Source organism: Homo sapiens, chromosome 3, assembly GCF_000001405.40.
Source record: "Homo sapiens chromosome 3, GRCh38.p14 Primary Assembly".
Classification (NCBI taxonomy): Eukaryota; Metazoa; Chordata; class Mammalia; order Primates; family Hominidae; genus Homo; species Homo sapiens.
In genome coordinates this window covers 11,378,651-11,403,921 of record NC_000003.12, presented here as the reverse complement: position 1 = coordinate 11,403,921, position 25,271 = coordinate 11,378,651, and the positions used below count along the sequence as shown (strand labels likewise).

General features: G+C 40.3%; 1 protein-coding gene across 38 annotated transcripts in view; it reads right to left on the bottom strand.

Annotated features, from left to right (window-relative positions):
* Positions 1-25,271, bottom strand: part of ATG7 (autophagy related 7) — a 303,957-nt gene that overhangs the window by 172,432 nt on the left and 106,254 nt on the right. For 33 of the 38 annotated variants that reach the window (XR_007095622.1, XR_007095623.1, NM_001349238.2 and 30 more), the window contains one exon: positions 23,870-23,950. The exons of the other annotated variants lie outside the window; for them this stretch is intronic. Coding sequence is in view for 31 of the 33 variants with exons in the window: in NM_001349238.2 (NP_001336167.1) it covers positions 23,870-23,950 (81 nt within the window). In the remaining 2 variants the exon portion in view is untranslated. The remainder of the gene's footprint in view (positions 1-23,869; positions 23,951-25,271) is intronic. 38 annotated transcript variants of the gene reach the window in all.

The window sequence follows — 25,271 nt, the reverse complement described above, 5'->3', positions numbered from 1 at the left end:
AACTCAGTGCATTCATTCAAAGATTTAAGAGAACCTGCTCTAGTTTATACGCTTCTTTGGGAAATCCAGCGTGTTTCTGCATAAGGAGTGCCATCTTTTGTCAAGGAGTAACCAATATCCACTGAAATGCCCAATGTGTAGAACTATTTTTGCCCTTGTGATATTCATACTTCGACCTCAGGGTCATTAATATGTTGTTGGTTTTTATATTCCTTGCCTTTTCATTAGCATTCGTATTAATTTCTAAAGCAATGTGAGGAAAAAGGAACCAGACTGCTTCACCTACTTAATAATTGATTATCAATAACATTTAAAGGAAGATTTTTCTCCCAATGAAATGCAAGTAACTCACCAGAAGAAAAAACCTTAAAAACTACATAAAAGTTTACATTTGCTAGTTTCCATTTCTTAAATGATGTCTTTTCATCCTTTATTATCTAAACAGAAGGAATCAGACAAGCTATCCCTCCAGATTTTCTCTGAACACAAACAAGATGAAACAATTACCATTTTAGACATAATCCCTCTTAATCTCCTTCTCCTTACTACCTTCCCCCAATACCCTTAAGAGATTAAAAAAAAAAAAGAAAACCCTTGAAACATCTATATTATTCTCCATTCTCTCTTTAACTTACTCCAATGAGGACTTCCTCTCCGCACTCCAAAAGACTCTTGTCAAGACTTCCTCAGATTGATAGGTGCACGTCAGTTTACATTTACTACGAATTATCAGACTCTAGTCTTACAATGGGTGGATTTTCTGGTATGTAAATTGTATCTCAATAAAGCTCTTGAATATCTTTAAGAAACACAAATTTAGATCCATAGCATCAACATATTTATAAATGGTATGTTAGTGTACTATTCAACGTTGTAATCACTACAGCAAAGTGTTTGTTTGATATGTCTTAATGTACTTTAAGCATTTAAGAGAATAGATTCCTGGTTTTAATTAAGACTTTAAAAGCATTGAAATTTATATTCAATATTTTTAAAACAGGAGAAATCTAATTTGATTAACTGCTAAATTGATAAATTAATCTGGTAAGTCTATGTAACCAGGTAATTGTTGACGTCGATTGTTAAATAAACTGGGTGTGGTGGCTATGAGACCCTGACTCCATTAAAAAAATTGTTAAAAAATGTGTTATATTAATATAAAAAGACCACTGAAGACCTGTATCTTGCCATTTATAATCCTCATTCAGTCTCTCAGCAGCATCTGACAGTTGATTTTCCTTCTATTCTGTGATTTTATATTTTTGGAGCTGGGGTTTCACTATGTTGCCCAGGCTGGCCTTGACTTTCACGGGGCTGGTGCATGTGTGATATGTTAATGAATGTATAAGGAGGTTCTAGGTGAAACCTAGGTCAAATCCACAGCCATGTTGGGTGCAGTCATTCTTAGCCAGCTTGGTTCACACCCTGGTTTTTCAGGGTCTTATCAGCCCCTAGCTTATCCAGTATTTCTTTTTTTAATTTATTTTTTGAGACGGAGTCTCACTCTATTGCCCAGGCTGGAGTGCAATGGCACAATCTTGGCTCACTGCAACCTCTGCCTCCTGGATTCAAGCAATCCTCCCACCTCAGCCTTCTGAGTAGCTGGGATTACAGGCGCCTGCCACTACACCCCAGCTAATTTTTGTATTTCTAGTAGAAACCGGGTTTCACCATGTTGGCTAGGCTGGTTTCGAACTTCTGACCTCAAGTGATCTGCCTGCCTTGGCCTCCCAAATGCTGAGATTACAGGTGTGAGCAACCACGCCCAGTCTATGCAGCTATTTCAACAGTTTCCTTTTGCTAGTCATGTGAAACTGCTGCCTGGAATTTTCTATTCTCCTGCGACCACCCTGTTATTATTCCTGTCTCAGTTGCATGGGTATTTACATGTGAAAAAAAACCCACCAAGTTGTACACTTAACATCTGTGTACTTACTGTTTTTAAGTTTTACCTCAACATAAAAATGTTTATTATTTAAGAAAAGGTTCAAGGCTTCCAATCCAATTAAAACATGCATTTCTTACTGTAACAAACTAATAAAAGGATCACCGTAGGTTAAACAGCTATTAATCCTGCTGAGAGTTGAGACCCTAGAGCAAAGAAAAAATATTTGCTGAGCATCCATTACTTAGAGCTTATAGTCTGTAGGCCTGGAGTACACAGGTTGTGGGACCCTCCTGGACTCTGCCATTTAGTAGGAGGCAGAACCAGAGTCCAGTGTGAAGTCACTGTGGCCTTATGCACAGAATGGCTTATAAAACAGAAGGAGGGGTCAGAGAAGGATTCTATGGCATTCTGTGCATGATACATGCTATGCATACATTTAAAAAACCCCTAAGTTAAAAGCTGAGCATGAAGTGGACTGACTTCCTTAGTGAGGCTGTGAGTGGATACCATGAGTGTAGTGGATAAGAAAGGCAGAAAGAGGATAAAATTGTGTCTGCTGTTATATACGAATCTCACTTTAAAATGAATTTTTAGAAGATACAACTTTCTATTCTCGGTCATCTTTTTAAACCAACACATACTTGACTGACATAAGCCAAACCAAAGATATTATTTGAAGGATACTTGGAAGATGTCAACATTGAAGAAAATATTCACTTGAAACCTTAAAATAACAAAGTTTAACTTTCTAAAGTCATTCTACAAAAAAAGTCACAAAGCACAAAAGCTATAGCAGTGGTTTATCAAAACTTGAGCATGCTTCAGAATCCCCAGGAAGGCTTGTTAAAACAGAAGTAGCTGGGCCCAACCCCACAGTTTCTGATTAATTAGGTCTGGGGCGGGGTCTGAGAGTTTTTATTTCTAGCAAGTTCCCAAATGGCACTGATGCTGCTGGTGCTCGGACCACTTTGAAAATGCCTGCTACATCTAAACAGGAGCACAACATCTTGGGATTCAACCCATTAAGCAGCACATTTTTAAAGTCCATCTTTAGCTATTTCTCCTAAAAGAAATTGCTTTGCGTGATATCACTATTTAGCAGTTTTACTCAATCCCTTTAATAAATTACTTACGGTAAAAAAATTCATTCCCCTGCAGAGAGAGCCAGGTTTCACTAAGAAAATTATTACCCTGAGTGACGTTTGTAATGTATGAATTTTGGTTGAGTTTCTTTTAATTTTGAAGTTGAGAATTATATAAGAACATGCTTCGCAGGCAAGTTCCATCAAGAAGGTTATAGTACATTATTTTATACATTATTCTCTCTCTCCAATCTGCATGGCTGTTGAGGTTATTCTCATAAACTAACTGGACATATCCCAGGTACAGGTTTGGTTTGACTCAAGCAGTATTTTGGGGTGGGGGGTGCGGTGTGAACCAACACTTAAAAATCAGGTACTTGCACATTAAAATTCACATTTCTATCTACTCTTCGAAGGAAAAAAAATCAGAAAATATGGCAACGTTATTCCCAGTAGTCTGCAAGTAACAATCATCCAGAGTTGGGTTGCAGCTGCTCCACGGAGAGAACTTGAGCTCTAGTTGGCCACAGTCCCTATTTATTTTCTGTTGTCTTCAAGCTAGTCCTTCTCTGCTCATTGATTTATTGGCCTACCCCTATTATCTGGGTACTCAGCATAAGAGGGAACAGTTTCAGTTTCAGGAAGTTCATATACCCTGGCTTAAATTAAGTATGGTGTGGGTGGGTAAATTATTGAAAACTTACATTGGACTCAGTCTCTTACAGCCTAAGGTTGATGAGTTATATGATCTACCAGCAGGTTACCTCTACTAATTGGAAATTCTTGTGTTAAGAGCCTTCAAGCTGGGATGAGCATTCTCTGAAAGACACAGTGTCAGGTTGTGAACCTTCCTGTCTGGCATAAAGAACAGTGTAAATGATGGGCATGCCAGCAGAAGCATACATGCAGAACACCTATTTATTTTCTTAACATTTTTCATTGTGAAGTAACAGAAATGTAAAATATAGTCTATAGGCTACATTATACTCTATACATAGTGTAGAGTGACCATCTGTGTAACTACAACCCAGTCAAGAACATCAACACATTACATCCGAAGTCCCTACAAAGTCGCTTCCACGCCAGGCACTGTGGCTCACGTGTAATCCCAGCACTTTGGGAGGCCGAGGTGGGCAGATTACCTGAGGTCAGGAGTTCAAGACCAGCCTGACCAACATGGTGAAGCTCTGTCTCTACTAAAAATAAAAAATTAGCTGGGCATGGTGGCTTATGCCTATAATCCCGGCTACTCGGGAGGCTGAGGCAGGAGAATCGTCTGAGCCCGGGAAGTGGAGGTTGCAGTGAGCCGAGATTGTGTCACTGCACTCTAGCCTGGGCGATAGAGTGAGACTGTCAAAAAAGGAAGGAAAGAAGGAAGGAAGGAAGGGAGGGAGGAAAGGAAGGAAGGAAAGGTAGGCCACTTCTACATTACAACTCCTTACTTACCTCTTAAAACCAGCGACTTATATAATAATTTCTCTACTTTTCCTCATAATTTTTCACCTAAATCTGCCTGCCTCCTTAATAATATCACTTCATTTTGTTTTTTAACATTGAACTATAAATTTATTCTTTTCCATCCGATTTATATTTTTCTATTTTTTGAGACAGTGTCTCACTCTTTTGCCCAGGCTGGAGTAGAGTGGCACCATCTCAGCTCACTGCAACCTCTGCCTCTGGGGCTCAAGCGATTCTCCTGCCTCAGCCTCCTGAGTAGCTGGGACTATATGTACAGGCCACCATACCTAGCTAATTTTTTAATTTTTAGTAGAAATGGAGTTTCACCATGTTGGCCAGGCTGGTCTTGAATGCCTGGCCTTAAGTGATCCGCCTATCTCAGCCTCCCCAAGTGCTGGGATTACAGGCGTGAGCCACTGCGCCCAGCCTGCATCTGATTTTTAAAAATTCAATGCTAAGATACATGTTAATCTTCCTTTTGCTCAGCCTCACCATAGGTTTAGCAATTTTACAGGTCTTTCTGTTCTTCTCTGTAATAATTTCTACCTTCTACTTGTTTGCATTTATTGTGTTGCTTTTACTGACTTCTTGATACAAATATTTGCTCATTAATTTCGGGCCTGTTTTAAGGCTTTTCTTAGCAAGGGCTCAAACTCACTCTGTCACCTACACTGGAGTGCAGTGGCATGATCAGAGCTCACTATAAGCTCAAACTCCCGGGCTTAAGCAATCCTCCTATCTCAGCCTCCAAGTAGCTAGGACTACAGGCATGTGCCATAACACCTGGCAATTTTTTAATTTTCTGTAGAGACGGGGTCTTGCTATGTTGCACAGGCTGGTCTCAAACTCTTGGCTTCAAGCCATCCTCCTGCCTTGACCCCCCAAAGTGCTGAGATTACAGGCATGAGCCACATTTTTATTAAGTACTGCTTTCTCCATATCCTACAAATTTTGGTATAATTTTTTTAATCATTCAGTTAAAATAGTTCTTAATTTCCATTATGTCATCCTTAATTAATGAGTTTTATAAGTATGTATCTGAATTTCCAAACACATGGGGATGATTTTCTAGTTATCTGTTTATTACTGATTTCTTGCATAATTACAGTGGAATCAGTATACATCTATACAATTTCACTCTGAAATTCGTTGAAACTTGTTTAATTATCCCGTCTATGCCAGCAAATTCTTGTAAAATATTATGTGTGTGCTTGAAAAGAATATGTATTTCTTTTCAAATTAGGTGCAGTATTCTATATTTCAGTTAGGTGCAGTATTCTATATGTATTCACTAGAATATGCTTATTAATCATGTTAACCAAGTTCAATAACCCTTCCCGATTTCTTTTGGTATCCTTTTTTCATCAATTACTGAGAATAATTCATTAAAATTTTCCTTTTTTTTTTTTGGAGACAGAGTCTTGCTCTGTCCCCCAGGCTGGAGTGCAGTGGTGTGATCTCGACTCACTTCAACCACCACCTCCCAGGTTCCAGCAATTCTCCTGCCTTAGCCTCCCAAGTAGCTGGGACTACAGGCATGTGCCACCATGCTCAGCTAATTTTTGTATTTTTTAGTAGAGATGTGGTTTCACCATGCTGGCCAGGCTGATCTCAAACTCCTGACCTCAGGTGATCCGCCCACCTCAGGCTCCCAGAGTGCCGGGATTACAGGTGTGAGCCACCGCGCCCAGCCGATTCATTAAAATTTTCTACTTGTGATTATAAATCATTTATTTCCGGGCTGGGCGTGGGTGCACGCCTGTAATCCCAGCACTCTGGGAGGCCGAGGTGGGCGGATCACTTGAGGTCAGGAGTTCGAGATCAGCCTGGGCAACATGGTGAAACCCCATCTCTACTAAAAATACAAAAATTAGCCAGGCAAGATGGCATGTGCCTGTAGTCCCAGTTACTCGGAGGCTGAGGCAGGAGAATCATTTGAACCTGGGAGATGGAGGCTACAGTGACCCAAGATCGTACCACTGCACTCCAGCCTGGGTGACAGAGCAAGACTCCATCTTAGGGGGGAAAAATCATTTATTTCTGGTAGTTCTTGTAAATTTTTTATATATTTTATAGACATGTTATTAAATACATACAAATTTAGAAATTCTACCTGGTGAATTAAAACCAATTATTATAAAGTAATTGTATTACAAATTAATGCTTTTTGCCTTAAAATCTGTTTTGTCTGATACTAATATAGCTACAGCAGCTTTCTTGTGGTATTTAAGTTTATTTTCAACTGATTTTTGAAAATTCAATACTAAAATATTATGTTCTTATATCTTATTTTCAGTCATTCTGTAAGTTTAAGATATATTGCTTGTATAATGCATATAAATTTAAAAATCTGGTTTGATAATCTTTCTACCGCCAGCATTTAACCAATTATGTTTAATGTAATTACTGATACATGTGGGTTTCAGTTTACCATGACTTCTTGTGCTTTGTATCTTGTACTTGTTTTTTTCTTCCTTTAAATCATCTTTTTCAATTTTTTCATTTTTAATCAGAAGTTATACAATTTTTCTATTTGTTTACTGTTTAGTCTATCAGTTATAACATATATCCTTGACTTATCTCAGTCAAGCATTAATTCCTATCTTTAACCTCTTCCAAGACAATGCAAGAACCTTAGAACAGACTAATTCCAATCACCTACCTCCTCCAAGTTTTAATACTTTTCTTTTCTTTTCTTTTTTTTTTTTTTTGGAGACAGAGTCTTGCTCTGTAGCCCAGGCTGGAGTGCGGTGGCGCCATCTCGGCTCACTGCAACTTTCACCTCTCAGGTTCAAGTGATTCTCCTGCTTCAGCCTCCTGAGTAGCTGGAATTACAGGTGTCTGCCACCATGCCCGGCTAAACTTTAGTTTGTATTTTTTGTAGAGGTGGGGTTTCACTATGTTGGCCAGGCTGGTCTCAAACTCCTGACTTCGAGTGATCCGCCCACCTCGGCCTTAAATTTCTATTTTTAAAAAATATCCCACTCAATATTGTATTTTCTTATACAGTAAATGTTCAAATGTTCATTTAGAGTTACCCACATTTTTTTTTCTTTTGGGACAGTCTCGCTCTGTTGCTCAGGCTGGGGTACAGGGCACAATCATAGCTCACTACAGCCTCAAACTTCTGGGCTCAAGCAATCCTCTCACCTCAACCCCCTGAAGTAGCTGGAACTACAGGCATGCGTCTGGCTAATTTTTGTATTTTTAGTAAAGATGGGGTTTCACTGTGTTGGCAAGCCTGGTCTCAAATTCTTGACCTCAAGTGATGCGCTTGCCTCAGCCTCCAAAAGTGCTGGGATTACAGGCATGAGCCACTGTGCCTGGCCTAGAGTTATCCCCATCTTTAACCACTTTCTATACTTTTTTTTTTTTCCTATACTTCTGATTTAACGTTTTGGATCACCTTCCTCCTATTTGGAGAAGACCCAATAAAAGTCCTTTTGTGTAAACATGCTAGTGGTGGACTCTGTTCTTGTCTATACAAAATACCTTTAATACCTTCACTTTTACTCTTCCCCCCCTACCTTTTTTTTTTTTTTTTTTTTTTTTTTGAGACAGAGTCTCGCTCTGTCGCCCAGGCTGGAGTATAGTGGTGTGACCTCCGCTCACTGCGAGCTCCGCCTCCTCGGTTCACGCCATTCTCCTGCCTCAGCCTCCCGAGTAGCTGGGACTACAGGCGCCCACCACCACGCCCGGCTAATTTTTTGTATTTTTAGTAGAGACGGGGTTTCACCGTGTTAGCCAGGATGGTCTCGATCTCCTGACCTCGTGATCTGCCCGCTTCGGCCTCCCAAAGTGCTGGGATTACAGGCGTGAGCCACTGCACCCAGCCCTTTCATTCTTGAACGGTATTATCTGCTGGGTTTAAAATTGTGGGATGCGTTTCTTTCCTTCAGCACACTAAAGAAGTTATTTCCATTGTCATGTGGCTCACACTCTGCAAGTCAACTGTAAGCCTGACCATCATTCTTCAGAAGTTAATGTCTTTTCCCCATCCCCCACTGCTTTTAAGATGTCTTTATATTCCATTTTCTGAAGTTTGATTATGATGGGTCTTGGTGTGGATTTAGTTTTATTTGTACTGTTATAAATTTGTTGGGCTTCTTGGATTTGAGGCTTCAGGTTTTTCATTTGTTTCAAAAAAAGTTTATCTATAATCCCATTCAATGTTGCTATAGAACCATTATTTCTTTTTTTCTAGATTTCCAATTATGACTGTTAGACTTTCTCACTCTATCTTCTACCTTTTTTATATTTTCCATCTTTGTGTATACAGTGCTTCACTCTGAAGTTTCTTCTAACCTATTTTCCATTTCACTAATTTGCTCTTTAGATGTATATAATTGCCTATACACCTATTCATTTTGTTTTTGAATTTTCAGTTCTAGATTTCAGTTTTTTAAATCTGGAAAGCCGTATTTTAGAGTTTCCAGTCCCCAATACAACTAAAATTTGGGCTTTTACTTCCTTTAATGCTGTAAGAATAGTATTTCATAGTGTATGTCTAATAAGTACAATATCTAGAATCTCTGTATGTCTGTATTTCTTTTGTCTTTGCTTCTGCCAACTCTCACTTATGGTACCTTCTCTTCTTGTGTGCCTGGTTACCTCTGTGGCTGGATATTGTAACAGCAAAATTATCTATATAAATAATTTTAGGACTAGGATCATATTTCCCTCTAAGATTTCATTGCTTTTACCTGGCAACTATGGGCATTAGCTAAATAGAATTATCTTAATGCAAGGAAGCCTTACGGTTTCCGGGCCACTTAAATAATGTGAAATTGTTACAGCCAATGTGAGGGATGGTTTACACCCACTTCACCCTTACTCCTAGGTGTATCTCTTGATAGAGTTCCAACCCAAAGTCAAGAATGATTTATAAGGGTTCTCAGGCTTGAAAGCACCCAGACTACAAGTTTTATCTCCTTCACCTTGAAAGGACACTAAAGGTGTGGCTCACGCTCTCAACTTCCTTTTCCTGATCAGCAAATGGCCATAAAACAAAAAATTGCCCTAATACTACGGCTTTGCTCCTCTGTGCTTACATTCTCTCTCAAAGCTCAACTCAGAATCTCCTTATAATAGTGATTTGATGTTTAAGAAGATTTTTAGAAGCAACTGATCCAGTTTCTTAAGGTGACTTCAGTAAGAGAGCTGGTTTAAATCACCTGTCCTATCACTAGTTAAGACAGAAATCTCCCAGCATTCTGTTATATAATATATCCTTAGTACATGGTCTTACCTTGGCAATAACTGCCCCAAGGTGAAAAAGTTCTATGGTATTCTTTGAAGAATAGTAATAGCTCTTCTTGGTAGTAACTTGCCCTTATAGTACAGAGGAACTATAAAGGATGAGAGTTCGTTCAAGTTATAGTTCCTGTAATTTACTCATTCTATGACCCTGGACAACGATTTGTGTATAAAATTGAGTGGGGGATACAACATCTCCACAATACCAGAATATCAAATGAAAGAATGCAAAAAAGCTTGAAAAAGCCTACAAAGCTGGCCGGGCATGGTGGCTTATGCCTGTAATCCCAGCACTTTGGGAGGCCAAGGGAGGAGGACTGCTTGAGCTCAGGAGTCTGAGACCAGCCTAGGCAACATGGCGAATCCCTATCTCTACAAAATATACAACAATTAGCCTGGTGTGGTGGCATGCACCAGTATTCCCAGCTACTTGCGAGGGTGAGGCACGAGAATCCCTTGAACCTTGGAGGTGGAGGTTGCAGTGAGCCAAGATCGCACCTCTGCACTCCAGCCTGGGCAACCGAATGAGACTGAGATAAAAGAAAAAAAAAACCTACAAAACTATCAAAAATTATCATTCTCTTCTCTCTTCTCTGCCCCATGGTGAGCCATTCATCAATGGCTCTGACTAAAACACCATGGCAGGCCAAAGGTCAGTTGACATTTCAAGTCACTCATGAATGGCTGGCAACATTATACAAGACATAATATTTCCAGGGTCAAATAAAGAGATACCTATTATCTGTAATTTATTTTTAAATATTTCTGAATACACAGTATGAATGCATGCAAGTATGTGGGAAGACACACAAACCCTTTCTCCCTCCCTCCCTCCCTTCCTCTTATGGGTAGCTAGTTAGTATCTGAGGTACCCTAATCAGGAGTGCATACCCCAGGTGTGGCTATTACAAAAGCATCAGCTACAGCTTTGAAATCTATACTAGAGGATTTCCTCACAAGTATAAAGGATGGTAGAAATAATTTTTCCGATGAAAACAATAGAATTCAATATATATATGTGTTGGCTGGAAATACTGTACAGGGATCTCTAACCTTGCATATATACGTGGGTTATAAGAATCTGGCAAACCAGGCAGCCTAACACTTTCTGCAGTGGCACTCTGGTCCTGGGTCTGGACACTTAACAGAGGATTCCATCACCTGCGCCAATGAAAAGTTTAGATGTGTCCTGTATTGAGAATTTTTCTGCATCTGTTTCTACCTAAACTTTGACGTGAGATACATACCCAAAGGACAGGTTGGGGCTTTTCCCAGTCCACAGGAACATGCTGAATGACTAACTTTTGTGCCTGCTTGCTAATGTTCTTATCTGTGGCAAAATTTAGTCTGAGACTTGACTTTATTGTTACAGATCACCTGGTAGCATAACTTCTAATATAGGACGTTACCAGTTTCTACCAAACAAACAAAAAACTTGCACCATTAGGAGCCACAAAATCAGTTCAGCTCAGTTTGCAACAATTGTGGTGCATCAAATTTCCTAAATGAAGCCTGTTGGGACATAACCTCAAAGCCGGAATATTATGATTCTGATCAAGCTGATATACATATTTGCCATCCCAGGCCCTCCAAGAGAAAGGCTGTTTCTCTTCAGTGGGAAAACCACAGGAAGCTACAGAGACAGCCTTGGGGTGTGGGTTTTGCTGGGCCTGGGTGCCTGCCAAAAATACCATCGTTCTGTTTCTTGGCCCCTAGAATGCAATGATACCTAAGCTTTTGTTTTTTTGTTTTGTTTTGTTTTTTTTGTTTGTTTTTTTAATGATTTCCCCAAAACCACCTGGACTCTGTATTCTACTCAAAATGATGTCATTTAAAGAATATCTGTATTCAAGGGAATATATGGGAGAAAGCTACCCTACTTCAAGTAAATGCAAACCAGAAATATTTGCATTTTCAAAACAGCACTGTCTTGGATTCTTAGCAGCTGCATGTCCCTGCCCTCCAAATGTTTCTTAAAATACTTAAGCTGAGAATTAACCAAAATGGGAGATGAACTATGTTTGTCATAAACAGTTTGAGAAAAAGCTTTTAAACTCTCAACCCCCAGCCTGCATCTGTGCTAAAGGACACCTAGAAGTTGCTCTAGCCCACATGACTTTCAAGATGCTACAGTCTGAAACATGACCATAAGAAATACATTCCTCTGGGTATCAGCATTCCCTTTTCAAAGGACAAGATTTCCAAAGACAGCCTGAAGGAGCCTAACCAATTAAGTCCTCGAAGCTGCTAAAAATTTAAAGTGAAATTACCCCCCCCCCAATAAGTACAATGGAATTCTATGCATATGAATCCTACCACATCACTGTCTGAGAGATGATTAATATGGTAGAAAAGTGAACAAGAAGTTGGAAATCCTGGACTTTCATGTAATTTCTCTGAGCCTAATGCTCTCTCCATCTGATAGACTGGGAAGCGCTCTTGCTAGCCAATTCATAAGACACTGGAAAGGGATACTGGGAAAACATCCATAAAACGATGCCAAAGGAACAGAGAAATGCTGTAGCACTTGAAAAGATTAAACCAAGTCCTCCCTGCCCATGTTGCACTGGCTTCCAACCCATTTATAGCTGCGGTAGAAAAAGCAAGATGATTGAGGCTGTAAAAAGGCTTCCAAGAAGCAATGTGGGACAGGGACAAGAACCGCTGTGCTGGCAGGCAGGCATCACCCTGAGCCCAGCACTGCCATGCTGGTTCTCTTCTGTCCCTGCCTCTAACAGCACAGAGAAATTCAGAGGGAACACAGACAAGAAAACTCTCCCAAGATTTATGCCAGCTCATCTAAAGTCGTAGGCTTAACATTGGCCACAGACACCTGCACAGATCTTCAGCCTCCAGGAAATGAGAATTCATCCTTCCCCATCAGTGCATGCTCCGGGGAACATTAAACCTCAGCTTCATTTAGGTTAATAATTAAGCTCCTAGATTTACAGCTGTCATGAAAAGAAAAGGGAAAAGGAAAGAAAAAGAAAAAGAATCTAAAAACTTGCACATTAGTATTTGCTCACATCTTGAGGCCAGGCCCTTTTTTGTTCCCCTCCTTTTTTGTCAACTTCTAAAGATGGAAAGTTTTTTATGGCTGTAAATGACAAAAATGAGTATATTCAGGAAAGGAAATGGGAACGGCACCTGATCTCTGTTCAGACAAAAGATCAACGGAAAACACTGACAGTGCCAACTACATGACACCCATCACACGAGCTCTTATTCCAACTTCATGGCTATGGTACTGCAACTACATCATACCTGAGGAAACTGAAGCTCAAAGTTTGAGATACTTGCTCAAGGTCACATGGTTAGTGGGTAGCAGATAAAGCCAGTGCTCACTGCTGCTGCACTAGTCATATCAAAATGTCCTGCCAGCTCTTAGCTCAAAAGATAGGATACTTTTGAATTCCCTTCTAACGTTCTCATTTGTTCACACCCATGTGCCATTTTAAGCCTTGCAGTACTTTAACTTGCAGTTTTTTAAAAATTTCCTGCAAATTGCTCATTCTCTTTATTCACAACACACAGCTTCAAATTACTTTCTGGAAAAAAAAAAAAATCAAACCCACCCACAAAGGTCAAAAAGTTACCACTGCTGAGGCTATTATGAGGAAAATACTGTGAGAGTAAAAGCAATTTCCCAAGAAGAACAGATCAAACTAGCACAGCCCAACAGAAACATACAGTCTCCTCCAGGGAGCACTGTGAAAGGGTCCATTTGTTGGGACTGCAGTCCTTCTGCTGAGTGGGATAGGATGACATAGGTCTCATTTTCCAGGTATACTTTCAGCGCCTATTGGAATATTATCAAAAATAGCAACTAGTGAGTGATTAGGCAAAGACAGCAGATATTGTTAAATGAAACTCTTGCTCCTCCAATAGAGCTGGGAGACACATGTTTTTGTTTTCTTACTCAGACATTAGTCTATTAGCAAGTCATTTTGCACTCACTTTTTAAAAAATCTGTGTGCCTTATGATTAAAATCAATCTTCCTTATCAGTCAAGTCAAACTGAAATAACGAAAATATTGTACATAGGCCTATTAGCAATTTTATGGAAGGTTTTACTCAGGCAACAAAATAAATAGTCTTCTTTAAGAAAGAGCGATGTTGAGCTCACATTCCACATTTGGGATACGTAGGAGGTTTCAACACAACAATGAGTAATTACCACTTGCCTCAATCCCCACTTTCGTTACCCTCTCCCTTCAAGGTCCTTTGTGGAAGAGCTGACATATAAAGAAAGGAAAATGCAAAGTACAACTGAGAACTAAGAGAAATCCAAATTTTTCCCAGGCCTTCGCACATAACACAAAAATATGCTTTTGCATGGATTTCTATCCCAAGTTGGAAGGTCAATAGAGTTCTTTAAAATATCCAAATGCTTCAGTGAATCCAGAGTCAATTACAAAGACACCTTAGCTGCCAAGACTTATGACGACAGGTGAGTTCAGATTACGATTCAACACATGCTCCACAGTAGTCCTCGTGGGAGGCTGCACATATATTCCAATGATGCTGCCTTTACTCAAGACTCTGCTGAATACACCCTTGTGTACTGTCAAGAAGACTCCTCTAATTTGCAAAACTTGCTCATGTGTATTCTCCCACTGACTGTTCACATTTGGCACACTTGCAGTAGCTTAAGGCCCACACAGGCGGTATTTTCCCGTTTTAGTATGATGGCTGTAAATTCAAGATGTCTAACTTTGCTATGTGATTTAACCAGTCATTAGATATTCTAGAGAAGAGAACCATGTAGCTTATTCTGTGTTAAAAAAAAAAAAAAAAAAAGCACTAACAAAACTTTCATAATGAAAGAATTATATAAAACTAGAGAAGGTCAGACACTCTAGAAAACTATGATTAAGTTCATATCCATATCACTATCATAAATACAGTATAACATGTTATATGAACAAGTCATAAGGGTAACTTCAGGAATAAGACATTCTCAAACAGTTCTTTCACATCTTTTTTTTTTTTTTTTTTTTTTTTTGAGACAGGGTCTCTCTCTGTTCCCCAGGCTGGAGCACAGTGGCACCATCTCGACTCACTGCAACCTCCACCTCCTGGGTTCAAAGATTCTTCTGCCTCAGCCTCCCAAGTAGCTGGGATTACAAGTGTGGCTAATTTTTGTATTTTTAGTAGAGACAGGGTTTCGCCATGTTGGCCAGGCTGGTCTTGAACTCCTGACCTCAGGTGATCTGCCCCCCTCAGCCTCCCACAGTGCTGATATTACAGGTGTGAACCACCATGCCAGGCCTATATTTAGGTACTTAAAATACTCTAAGTAGTGATATATACATTGTATAAAGCCTGTGTGTGTAAGACCATATATGTCCATAAAAGCTTTCCCAGTTCCAGCTGATGGCTCCCTTGTTTCAGCAGCTGGGTAGCAGTTACAAGTCCATGTTCCTCCCTCCCTATCTTACAAAGTTATTGAGGGTATAGGCAAGAGGATGAAGATGAATGTACTATATGAATAAAAAAAAGAAAGAAGGGGCCTGGCGCAGTGGCTCACACCTGTAATCCCAGCACTTTGGGAGGCCGAGGTGGGTGGATCATGAGGTCAGGAGATCCAGACCATCCTAGCTAACACGGTGAAACCCTGTCTCTACTAAAAGTACAAAGAATTAGCCAGGCGTGGTGGCAGGCACCTGTAGTCCCAGCTACTTGGGACGCTGAGGCAGGAGAATGGCATGAACCTGGGAGGCGGAGCTTGCAGTGAGCTGAGATAGCGCCACTGCACTCCAGCCTGAGCAACAGAGCAAGACTCCTTAAAAAAAAAAAAAAAAAGAAGGAACATGAGCAGTGGCTAGTTGGGGACCTTTGCCCATCAGGAGTCAAGTCAATGCACCCTGCTAGCAGAGGGAGAACTAACCGTCTGAACTCTGAGGAGAGTTAGTACCGTCCTCCATCACCCAGTTGGATACAGCTGGGCCTAAAGAAATGAAATAGTTGATCAAGAGACTACACAATCTCAGAGACACAAAAACTAGTGGTAAATCAGCCCCTGCATCTCCCTTTACTACAGTTGAGGAAAAGGAGTCCCCAGAGGTAGATGGTCAGTTCCCAAAGCCATAGGGGCAGCCATGGTGGGACTGGTTGCAACTCTCATATCCTAGTGTCTCATCTAGGAGAGCTTGGGAATGGTACCAAAGAAACACTCATAGAGCAATGGTGCTTTACTAGGATCCACAGAGATGTTTCAGGGACTTCATGAAGCCTCTGAAATTGTCTGTAAAACTGTGTGGCTTTGCATTTTTTCTTTTGCTCTGTCACTCAGGCTGGAGTGCAGTGGCGTGATCTTGGTTCACTGCAAACTCTGCCTCCCAGGTTCACACCATTCTCCTGCCTCAGCCTCCTGAGTAGCTGGGACTACAGGTACCTGCCACCACGCCTGGCTAATTTTTTGCCTTTTTAGTAGAGACAGTGTTTCACCGTGTTAGCCAGGATGGTCTCAATCTCCTGACCTCGTGATCCGCCTGCCTCAGCCTCCCAAAGTGCTGGGATTACAGGTGTGCGCCACCACGCCCAGCTGGCTTTGCATTTTTAAGGGGAACAGTGGTGACTGCTTTCATCAGTCTGAACACAATCCATGACTCAAAAAAATTTAAGAATAGGCTTGGGGATAAGACTAGAGGTGAATGAGATTAATTCCAAACTAAAAGGAACCCAATTTTTCAATACCCTGAAGACTATGCTTGGGCCAGGCTGCCAATGGAACCATCTAAGGAGAACACAGCCCTCAACTTTCTGGTCTGAGTGGCAAAAGGGATCCTGTAAGAAAAAATTTGTCTGGGAAAACTAGATGTGTTTGTGACCACAGGTGACAGGGAAAGGAGTAATCATCACAAGTTCTAACTACTAATTAGGTAGTCTTAAAAACCACAGGTCAAAAGTAACAAGCAAGGCCGTGTTCTCTGGAATCATGGAAAAGGTTTTGGCTGTCATTGTCAAGAGACATGAACGGAAGGTTTCTGCAGCCTTTCAAAGCCAGGGCAGCCTTGGCCTTCAAATCCCTGATTCAATCCCTCCCATTATACCTGTGTGTGGACAGTGAGCCCAGAAAAGGCTGCATGTATCTCAGGAGACCTAATGCAATCACAGGGGTCTTTGTTTTCTTATTTCTGATGTCAACACCAGTCCCAGGAGTGGGCAAAGGCCTTGGTACTTGGCCACAGGGAACTGGATACACGTCAGCCATTGCAATTTCCCTGGGAAACAGAAAATATTTTCCCCACTGTATGGATGAGGAAATAGAAGCAAAGGGAGAAATGTCCAAGGTTTTTCAAGGCAGTGAAGAGCCAAGAGTTCTGAGGTTAAGGCTTGTAGCTAAATACTCCTCACCAGCTCTGGCTGTATATTCCATCTCCTTTTGGGAACCAAGCAGTTCTGGAGATTGGAGAAAACACTAGTTGCTAAGGACAAGATGTGGGATATATTTTATACCACACAATCATACATATGGAATCCATCATACATTAAAATAGAAGATTTGAGGCCTTGCTGGGTAAATGAGATAGGAAAAGAGAACCTGGGGGTTACTCATCATTTTCCAAATCAGAGATTTATATCCCTTTTGGAAAGGAGAAGGAAAATCTGGCTGCAGCCCAGTTTTGAGTAATATTTGCCACTGAGAAGCTGTATGCAAAGATTCCTGGCACAGGCTGCAGAGAGCTCTTCCGACTGGGCTCTGGCCAGTCCTTGTAAATGATTGAGATTTAAAACCCTATCAAATCTGAGAAGCAGGGAGTATCCTCAATATAGTACCATAAATCCCTTATAGTAGGAATGTTCAGGGAAAAATGATGTCTATGTATACCTATATACATACATATATATTTTAAGTCAAGAAGTGTTGACATCACCAATTAACAGTGATCTAAATGGCTGGATCGTGGTTATTTTCTTTCTTAAATATATTTTCTGATTTTTCTGCAATTAAAAATCCATTGCTTGTGAAATAAAGGAAATATAAAATATAAAAGCTAATAAAGTGTCAATAGAGAGCCAGAACTTATCTCATTCAACTGACTCACTGAAGAAAATAAATGAAGGCGGGCAGAGTGGGGGAGCACCTTGCTTGTGGTCACTTGGCAGTCCAGCAAGGGATGCAGAGCCAGGACCCTGGAAATCCCCTGACTTCCTGCCCTCCACACCACCCTGCTGCAGCTGCTGGATTCCTTAGGCTAGGAAACTCCCTAAAAAGCTCGGTGCTAGGTGAGCAAGAGTTTTACATGTTATTGTAAAATTCAAAACAGCAGCTTTAAGCATTAGACAACGTATACCAGATTCCAACTCCAAGGATGGCCAAAATTAAAACGGCACTCACAAAGACAAGAGGACGATTTGTAGAAAATTGGGTGTCCCAGGCTCAGCCACAACTGCTCTACTAAACAACTTCATAACTGCCATGTTTTGTTGTCTCTGGCTATTATACATGCAATTCTCCACTGCCTGGAATTCCTTGTGTTCTCTCCCCTAGGTGTTTCTAGAAACTCCTACTTGACCCTTTAACATCAACTCAGAAGTCATCCTCTGCAAGGCCTTCCCTAGTCCTCCACATTTACAAAATTAATTGGTATTGGGATGCCGTAACAAGAGGACAGACCTTGCTGTAGGGCATTTCACAACTGAACAGATCATTATTGGCTTATGAGTCTGTCTCACCCTCTAGGCAGTGTTCCTTGAAGACAGTGGCTATTGTAATCATCTTTGTATCTCTGGCACACAGCAGGGACTCAAATGTCAGTTGAATTAAATGAATGTCTGCTAACAGATAACAGTTTAACCATTCCTTTCAAATCTATGATTTGCCTTTCTAAGTGGTGCATTTGCAAAGTCCTTAGGTGACAAGTTGCTTTGGGACAGAGGTTTCTCTTAAACATTTAAGTAGCTGGCTGAGCGCAGTGGCTCACGCCTGTAATCCCAGCACTTTGGGAGGTCGAGGTGGGCAGATTACAAGGTCAAGAGATTGAGACCAACCTGGCCAACATGGTGAAACCCCGTCTCTACTGAAAATACAAAAATTAGCTGGGTGTGGTGGCGCACGCCTGTAGTCCCAGCTCCCCAGGAGGCTGAGGCAGGAGAATCACTTGAACCCAGGAGGCGGAGGCTGCAATGAGCTGAGATCACGCCACTGCACTCCAGCCTCGCAAGTGAGCAAGACTCCGTCCCAAAACAAACAAACAAACAAACAAACAAACAAAAACACTATTTAAGCAGCTAAGTTGACTTTTTGTTATTTCATGCTTCTTTCTGGCGGGGGTTTTGGGGCATGGGCATGACAGAGTCTTGCTCTGTCGCCCAGGCTATAGTGCCATGGCATGATCTCAACCTCTGGGCTCAAGGATCTTCCCACCTCAGCCCCCCAAGTAGCTGGGACTACAGGCATAGGCCACCACACCTGGCCAATTTTTGTATTCTTTGTAGAGGCAGGATTTCACCATGTTACCCAGGCTGGTCTCAAACTCTTAGGCTCAGGTGATCTGCCCACCTCAGCCCCCACAAAGTGCTGGGATTACAGGTGTGAGCCACCATGCCTAGCCTTTCATGCTTCATAAGTAACAAGAAAACATGATAGAAGGTAGGTAGGATTATATAATATCAAAAAAATAAATGGACAGGCTGGCTATAACCAAGGCCAAAACAAAGTACGATTTACCAGCTGACATTTATTATTCCTACCTAACCCTTACCCTATCACTCTTCAAGATATATGCCCAGATACACACAGAAAGCTAATAGCAAGTCACTTTGAGGAGTTTAATCATAACCCATCAACAGAAGAACCTATTGCATAGTCAACACCAGAATGAGTGTATTATTAAGGTTGCTAATCACTGAAATCTCAAGATCAGGTTTCTGGGCACATCTTGCTGCATCTGCGCAGGTCCCAGATGGTATGCAAACCAAGTTTGGAGCCTGATTCTTCACAACAGGCTGTTCTTGCACTATCAAGAAGGTTGTGAGTAATAGAATTGTGCAACAAGAGCAAGAATACTCTGCACGCAGTCTCCTCCTGCACAGTCCTGCTCCTGACTCTGCAGGTCTGAAAAAAGGTTTTGGTCAACTTCTGGGTACCAGAAACAAGGTTATTATTGCAAAGAACACCTGAAGCTGCCTAGCTTTACTCCTTTTAGAGAAGGACTAGTCATAATATACAACATACTTCCCCTTCCCCCAGAATTGACTGGGAAAGGGTACCTGGGAACTTTCTGGAGTGATGGAAAAACACTAATATCTTGATAGGAAGAGTGTGGGTTACATGGGTGTATACATTTGTTAAAACTTACGGAGTTGTTTTAAGATTCATACATTTCACCATATATAAATTTTACCTAGGAAAAAAAGAACTATGCACAAATAGGAACTGAAGGTTCTAGGTTTATTTTCTGTAGTAGTATGGGCTAGCAATTTTGAAACTACTTCCTGTATTATTCTAGACTTCAGCAAGTGAGTAAATATATCCAGGATACGGCTGGATGCGGTGGCTCACGCCTGTAATCTCAGCACTTTGGGAGGCTGAGGCGGGCGGATCACGAGGTCAGCAGTTAGAGACCAGCCTGGCCAATGGAGTGAAACCCTGTCTCTACTAAAAATACAAAAAATTAGCCAGGCATGGTGGCAAGTGCCTGTAGTCCCAGCTATTTGTGGGGCTGAGGCAGGAGAATCGCTTGAACCTGGGAGGCAGGCGGAGGTTGCAGTGAGCCGAGATTGCAGGTTTCTCACTGTTGGAGAAGGTAGTCAGAAATATGGAAAAGGGAAAACTAGCATCACCGAAAGGTATATAATATATTATATAACTCCTGACATGAGGAGACAGCATCACTTCTTTGGTATTTCCACCAAAAATTCATAACCTGAATCGAATCATAGGGAAACATCAGACAAATCCACATGGAGGGAAATTCTACAAAAATAACTGGCAAAATATCAAAACACTGAAGTTAAGAAAGATAAAGAAAGATGAAGTAACTTTTCCAGATTGAAGGGAGCCAGAGACACGACAACTAAATGCAATGTTTGATCCTCAACTGGATCCTGGTCTGGAAGGAAAAAACCTATAATGAACATTAACTGGTATAAACAACAACATTGAATACACAGACTGTGGATTAGAAAATAGTATTGTGCAAACATTAAATTGCCTGAATTTGATAAGGATATTGTGTTTAGGTAAGAGAATGTCTTTGTTCTTTGGAATTCACATTGAAGCATTCAGTTTTAAAGGATCAGAATGTCTCCAACTTACTCTCAAAATTTCAAGAAAAAAATGGGGTAGGGGAAGGGAAGAAGGAGGGATTGGAGGACGACAGCAAATATACGTGGGGCAAAATGTTAACAATGGATGAATGTGGGTAAAGTGTATACCGGAGTTCCTTGTACTATTCTTCCAATGTTTCTGTTAAGCTTAAAATTATATCAATAGAAAGTTACCCAAAAATACTCTGCCAAAAAATATTTAGGTGAAAGTCTAACAATAACAAAGTAATTTAATGCACTACAGGAAATTCTTTCAGGAATATTGATTTTAAAAATTATACTTTTCCCTCTGGTAGTAACACCACAATACTCTAGTTAGCTTGGAATTTCTTTGTAGAAGTAAAGAGCAACTCATATAAACGTCAAATAAGGTCTTTTGAAATTTCATTGACAAATACCATCTGTTTAGAAAGTTCTGCAAGACAATAAGTAGAAACTGGAATGAAAGTGACTCCTCACCACCCACCTCTCCCCACCATCCTTCAATATTTTTCCCCTAAGATGGAACAATTCACCTCGTTATGTGCCAACCTAAGATCACATAGGATAAGAAATGATTTATGGATAAATGTTCCAACTTTCCTGCTTTAGAAGCAAAGCACTGTATTCTTCCCCACCTCAGGCTACATAAAAAGCTCTCGCTCGCGTGCGTGCGTGCTCGCACTCTCTCTCTCTATATATATGTGTATATAATGTATTGCTTTGTTTGTTTTTAATAAATAAGATAATGAACAAGTGCTTCACTATTCAGCAGAAACTTATTCTACTTCCCCAGTCTGTCTCTATTTGTGGTTAAATCAAGACACAAGCATGGCCTTGATCCTGGTGGGGAGGAGGAAACATACTGAAAACTACCAAAGGAAAAAATTACTTCATGAATGTCAAAGGATAAATTTTTAAAAGTAATTTTTAGCCCCAATCTTTTGAAACAACAACTATGACATGACTCTGTATAACATGTATTATACTAAATATACATTAAGAAAAATTCAAATACACAGAAATGAAAATGTAATTGGATTTGTCATTTTAAAGTATTAATGTTGGGTTTGCAGATAATAGAGAATGACAATCTCCTAAGCAAATAAAGAAGGTAGCCAAGTAAGTAAATGCTGCGTTTCTACTGTAAGGAAATACGTGCACCAATGAAGCAACCTTTCCAGGACAAAAGAAATTTAATACTCAGACCACATGAAAAGTGACCGCTATGGGAATAGCACAGCTGTTAAAATCCAAGTCAGTTTGTATTAAATCGTCCAACATGTTTATGTAAAGCAGGACTCTCAAAATGATCACCAAGAGGAAATAATTTTGCTAACAAAAAAGTGATACCTATATTTAATTAAAAGCTTACAATAAGTGTGAAAGAAAAATGCTAAGCTATTCTCTTTTAAAGTATAAGGAACGCCCAGTTAGATGGTATGCTTGTGATTCTTTTATAAACAGTATCTGAAAGGCTAATTTAATTAGAAATAGAACAAGAATGAATGAGTGTTTGCATTTCACTTAGAGAACCCAATTATCTTTATTTCATTGACTAGCCAGACCAACATAAAGCCATAGAAAACCTGGCACCTGTGCCAAATGATTTCAGTATGAAAATTAATACTGCCAAGTTATTTTGAGACCAGTTAGCTCAACCATTCAAAGAAAAAAAAAATCTGCTCCACTAAAGATGTAGTATACAATCCTAAAACTTGCATTTCTGAAGATGGGGGTGCATGCAGACATCCTTGAGGTCCTGGCTTGAGCAGATATATCTTAAAGGAAACTACAGAAAGAATGGGCTCATGGGTAACTACTGACAAAGTCTAAGCTTGAAATCTCAACATAGGCACTTGGGATGCATAATAAAACAGGCTTAGTTTACTTCGGAAGCAAAAAGAAAATAATTAGTCTCAATTTTTGAGCATCTAAACGTAACCAAATTTATCAACATTGCTTGTCAATTCTACATTCAATTTTTAGAGAAACTGGTCAGGATTGTGCTTCCCATAAAATATAGCCCAAGTACAGTTTTCAAAGGAAGCTTGTCAACTCAGAATAGAGAAATACATCCCTAGAATTCTCTTTCTTCCACAGTGGCAGACAGACGAAGGCTACACGAAAAATAGTTCCAAATTGTAACTGAGAAGCCACAGTTGGGGATTAGTGGTCACCAACATTATTTTGTATAGCACTTCAACATGAAAATCTTTACTTATCAGCAATCATGAGCCTTAAAAGCCCAGGTCAAGTCGCTGGGCAGCAGAAGGCTGAAAGGAACACTTGAAAGGAAATCAGCTATCACATACAGTGTGCATGTAAAAATCACTCAGATGGTATCCGAAAGCCTATTAAAACACGAGATGCCATCACTGTAGTTTTGAGATATATCAGCCGTTTCACATTACGATGGCTAACATACCAGCTCTATTTTTAGAGCTTCTGGAAAGATCAAAGCTGAAGGGGCCCTTTTAGTGGCTCCCCATCCAGGCCCCTAATCTCTGTTTACTTTTTCTTTGTAATTATGTGGATCTGCAGAAGATGCATAGCCAGGGCCGCCTCACCCTCAGAGTAACGCTTTAAAAAATTGCTCTATGAGGGTCCTGGCTAGGAGGGAACCCTCTGGGGAGGAACAAAGAGCAGTAAAGTTCAAATTCAAGACAAAATTAGCATGATGCAAGTATTGATACAGAGTTGAAATATTTTAACTCAGTCTCCCTACACATTTTCTCAGGCTGGTTTTAAACCACTGTGAGAATGAATACAGATCCATGAAAACAAAGTCCTTTCTGAGGGTTTAGACCCCACCCTTCCCCCACAAAAAGCCCTTAGTTGGTTTCAAGGGCTCCAGCTGGTGAGGCTGCGGTCAAATGCTGACCCGCTCACTTTTAAAAACAAGTCCCTCCAATACAAAATGACTTACTTTGGAAGAACAAGCTGTACATTTGTCAAATGCCAGGCTGACGGGAAGGACATTATCAAACCGTGAAAGAAATCCCCGGATCTAAAAACAAACAAAACAAAACAATTCACATCAAACACACAACGACCACATCTATGAAATGCACGTCTGGTTTCTGACAACAAGTAGGAAATGATTAATATGGCGGCCCGGAAAGAGATTATGAGCAAAAATAAGTTCGAAATGAGTATTTTCCCTTGTAACGTAATCAGTTTGCAGAAGAACTATATTAGGTCCTTTATTCCATTAGGAGCCAGGGCTTACAAGCTTTTCAAATATTTCTGACCTAAAAACAAACTGACTCTAAAATACAAAAAGCAAGCTGTAGTATCTAAAGTATTTTTTAACAAATGTCTTCCAAAATGTTGAACAGGTCCACTGGTATACTCAACTCTTAAGCTCCCACATGTGTTCTAGTGAATATGGGGTAAATACACATTTCTATGACATGATTTTGGGTGGGGTCTCACAAGGAAAGATGGCTTGGGGGACTGTGGAAGGCCGAAATGGCCCTAGACATATATCCAGTTATTTGCTTGATTTGGAACAGATAGAGATAAAATGTAAAACATCATCAGATTTATGGGGAAACAGCACCACCTTGAGCATAAAATTCTGGACTACAACTGAGTTACATTTCCAGAGTATCAGCTATAATCAGGTTTCACAAACTATAACTGAAGTAATTTATTCAGAACATTATACCTGTATATACTATACTTACACCAAAGGGGGAGCTTTAAGCTGTTCTATATATCATAAAAATATGAATGGTAACATCTCTAAACTCTCCATAGGACTCAACGTTTATAATAAACCAGACAACACAAATATTATGAATTAATTTATTTGACCTTTCAAATTCCCCATTTTATGTTGAAAAACCTCAGGCTCAGGAAGAATGGCAACTTGGCTCAGGTAAACAGTAAGTAATGGAGCCAAGACTCAAAAATGGACCTCCTGATGTGAACCTGCCCCCGGCCTGAGCTTCTCTGCTTCCCTCCCTCTCAGAATACCACAGCGTTTGTCTTCAACACTAGGTCTTCTCACAACTTTAACACTCTCACTTGAACAGAACAGAAGACCCGATCCACCACCGTTTAGCCATCCTATTAACACCATGCCCTCTCCCTCAAATCCCCCACCCCCCGAAAAACAAACAATTTGACAAACTATTTAAAGAAAAAGGCTTCTTTTGAGTTTTGGATAACTCCATCCTGATGCTCACACTGTAACAGTGTTAACTGTTTGTGCATACTTCTCTCTGGAAAAAAATCAAACCTGGAAAAACATGCCTACAGCAATTTTTTTTTTTTTTTTTTTTTTTTGGAGATGGAGTCTCACTCTGTCGCCCAGGCTGGAG